Raw genomic sequence first — 3,643 nt, forward strand, 5'->3', positions numbered from 1 at the left:
ATTATTTTCTTTTTTGAAATTTTACTTTAAGTTCTGGGATACATGTGCTGAACGTGCGGGTTTGTTACATAGGTATACATGTGCCATGGTGGTTTGCTGCACCTATCAACCTGTCATCTAGGTTTTAAGACCCGAATGCATTAGGTGTCTGTCCTAATGCTCTGCCTCCCCTTGTCCCCCACCCCTTGACAGGCCCCGGTGTGTGATATTCCCCTCCCTGTATCCATGTGTTCTCATTATTCAGCTCCCACTTATGAGTGAGAACATGTGGTGTTTGGTTTTCTGTTCCTGTGTTAGTTTGCTGAGAATGATGGTTTCCAGCTTCATCCATGTCTCTGCAAAGGACATGAACTCATCCTTTTTTATGGCTGCATAGTATTCTATGGTGTATATGTGCCACATTTTCTTTATCCAGTCTATCATTGATGAGCATTTGGGTTGGTTCCAAGTCTTTGCTATTGTAAACAGTGCTCTGCAGCCATCTTTCTAAAATACAACTCTGACCCACTAATGACTGGTTAGATAAAAATCATCACCACCACCCCTGAAACGACAACTCTTTATCTTACAGGAATTGCAGACTTCCAGAAGCCCTAGCACCATGTTTTTCATACTGCAGCTTGTGACTGGTTAGGTCTTTACGTTGTCATTTTTGTAAATAAAATGGAATAAATAGAAAAGTATCTTGCAGGGCAGTTAGGTAATTATTTTGAGAAGTTCTTGTGTGTGCACTGGAAACCACGGACAATGTCTTCCTCACTGTGGGTCACAGGCAAGTTTGGAAACCACTGCTTTAGCACACTGAGTCCCTCTGGACACTCTTTGACTTCTCTGTTTTTGTATAGCTTTTCTCCTCAACTGGAAGGTTCTTCCCTTTTCTATGCCTGGGGAGCTTCTAGTCATCTTTCAAGTCCTAATTTAAATGTGTTAGTCACTCCGTGCTCACTCATTCTTTCCTCTGGTGGGCATCTGTTCCCATCGCGGGGTAGGTAGGTAGTTTTTCGTTTGCTGGTCTCCTCTCAAGCTGTGGTTAAAGGCAGGGAACATGCCATTTTTATTTTTGTCATTCAAATGCCCATAACAGAGTTTGATCTATAGAACAGACTCTAAAATGCTTACTATATTATAGAACCCTGTAATTAATTTTTATTGAACATACATTTAATCCATATGTTTTCTACGTTTTTTTTTAAGAGACAGGGTCTTGCTCCACTGCCCAGCCTGCAGCACAGTAGCGTGATCACGGCTCACTGCATCCTCGAACTCCTGGGCTCAAGCAATCTTCCCCCCTCAACCTCCCAAAGTGCTGAAATTACAGGTGTGAGCCAACACACCTGGTCCCAATTTCTAATTATTGTCATATGCAGATTTTTAAAAGCAACATCATTCCTATGTTAATGCTTAAAAACAGTGAAAAGTGTTAAGACAACTCACGTCCATTGACCGTGATGCTGGGGTCTGTTCTGAACAAGATGAACAGTATGCAACATGATTATGATGCAATATGCTCCTAGTTTTTCCCAATGTGGATACAATCTCATTTAAATCAACAATGCCATCAGGAGCAGATTTCAGAAGATCCATACAGACCTGGCAAGGTGGCTCACGCCCGTAAACCCAGCGCTTTGGGAAGCCGAGGTGAGAGGATTGCCTGAGCCCAGGAGATTGAGACCAGCCTGGCCAACACAACAAGATTCCGTTTCAAAAAGAAAGAAGACCCATACACATTTTATTACAAAGAGCAATGCATCAAAAGGAGGCTTATTAACTCCTGGTGGAATAAAGCAGAACACAAAGATTAGTAAAACTTAAATGCTTTGATTTCAACTAAATTTCTCTCTTTATAAACAGGCATCAATGGGGATTTAAAGGAAACAAGCCATATACGACTTGGATTAAATCGGAAAATAATTTTCCCCCATCAATTTTGCTGTGTTCTTTAGATTTTCATTTAGTCATTTACTTTTCCAGCTGCCTTTGGGAACACCTAGAATTCTAGAAGAAATGTGCAAAGTAGCTCAGTTCCTAATGTGACAGAGGGTGGGTGGTTTTCTTTTCTTTCCACCTCCACCGCACCGTGGGTGCTGCGCTTCATGACTGAAATGCTACAGAAATGCTTGGGAACAGCCCCCAGCCTCGACCACACAACCACTTCATGTGTGAGCTTCGCGGTTCTGTGTTGAGACACGTTCTGCTTCAAGACCAGTGGGTTTGCATTCTTGGCACAAAATTTCAGGACAGTATAAGCACTTGATGTTGCCACCTTTGTAGACACCACTGCCAGGTTTTAACCTGGCAAGTTAAAAGACTGTAAGGTTTTAACTTCTCTCACTATAGTTTCAGGCTATAAATAGAGGAGAACTAGGTAGGTGCTATTCCCTCAGCATGTGTGTGCACTGACTACAGTCGCAAAGAAAACGGAAGGTGACCTTGAGGACGAAAGGGCCATAAATCGCGACGGCAAATTATTGTACTAAATAAAGGAGAATGAAGCTGAGGAAAACAGTAGTACATCCAGGTGAGGCTGGTCTGTATTTACAGAAGTCAAATCATGTGACAAAATGTACCATCTAAGAAACAAATATTCCAGTTATCAACTTGGACTTGCAATCATCTTGGACGCAGATCTCAATTTAGTATCACAGAATATGAAAACTAAAAAGGAATTTGGCCAGGCTCGGTGGCTCATGCCTGTAATCCCAGCACTTTGGGAGGCTGAGGCGGGCGGATCACCTGAGGTCAGGAGTTTGAGACCAGCCTGGCCAACATGGTGAAACCCCGCCTCTATTAAAAACACAAAAAATTAGCTGGGTGTGGTGGCTGGCGCCTGTAATCCCAGCTACTCAGGAGGCTGAGACAGGAGAATTGCTTGAACCCAGGAGGCGGAGGCTGCAGTGAGCTGAGATCACGCCACTGCATTCCAGCCTGGGCAGCAGAGTGAAACTCCATCTCAAATAATAATAATAATAATAATAAATAAATAAATAAATAAATAAAAACAAAAAGGAATTTTACAATTATAATTTTATAATTTATATTTGTAAGATGTATCTAACATCATAGCCAGGGACAGAGCTGGGACTGCCACCCCATGGGGCCATGATGGGCAGGAAGCGAATGCTTGGTGTTTATTCTCTCTCAGATCCAAGTCCGCCCTTCTAGTTTCTATTCTGTGATCCTGGGACTGGCTCTCTGCAAACCCATTTCCTGTATTCCCTTGCTAGCTGGTAAGTTCTGACACTAGGAGGCAATGGTAAGAGAGTGGAAAGCGGGAGGAGGAGGAACTTTTCTTCCTTTTTCTAGTTCCCGTCTGTGTCCCTACAGCAATAGAAGATTGTGATGGCTCCAGTTTCCAGATTGTTTTGGCAGCTCAAGTATGTGGCTGTATCCGTCCGGGGTGGCACACCAGCTGTGCCATCCCCCAATCAGAGGATTGGGCCCCAGACATTTGGTGGGTGTCTCCTTCCCCACTGGAAGTCCAAGCACTGTGGTGGCATCTCCTCCGAGGTCTAAGTGCCAGCCGCGTGGGGACCTCTCCTATGAGCCCCTACGTTACGGTATCCCTACTTTTTCCTAGGGGTGGTAGTCACTTCCTGAATTTGTTTTTATTTTTTAAATAACTGCTCCTTGAGGAGCAGGGCTA

This window comes from Homo sapiens, chromosome 2 (genome assembly GCF_000001405.40).
Source record: "Homo sapiens chromosome 2, GRCh38.p14 Primary Assembly".
In the NCBI taxonomy this organism is placed as follows: Eukaryota; Metazoa; Chordata; class Mammalia; order Primates; family Hominidae; genus Homo; species Homo sapiens.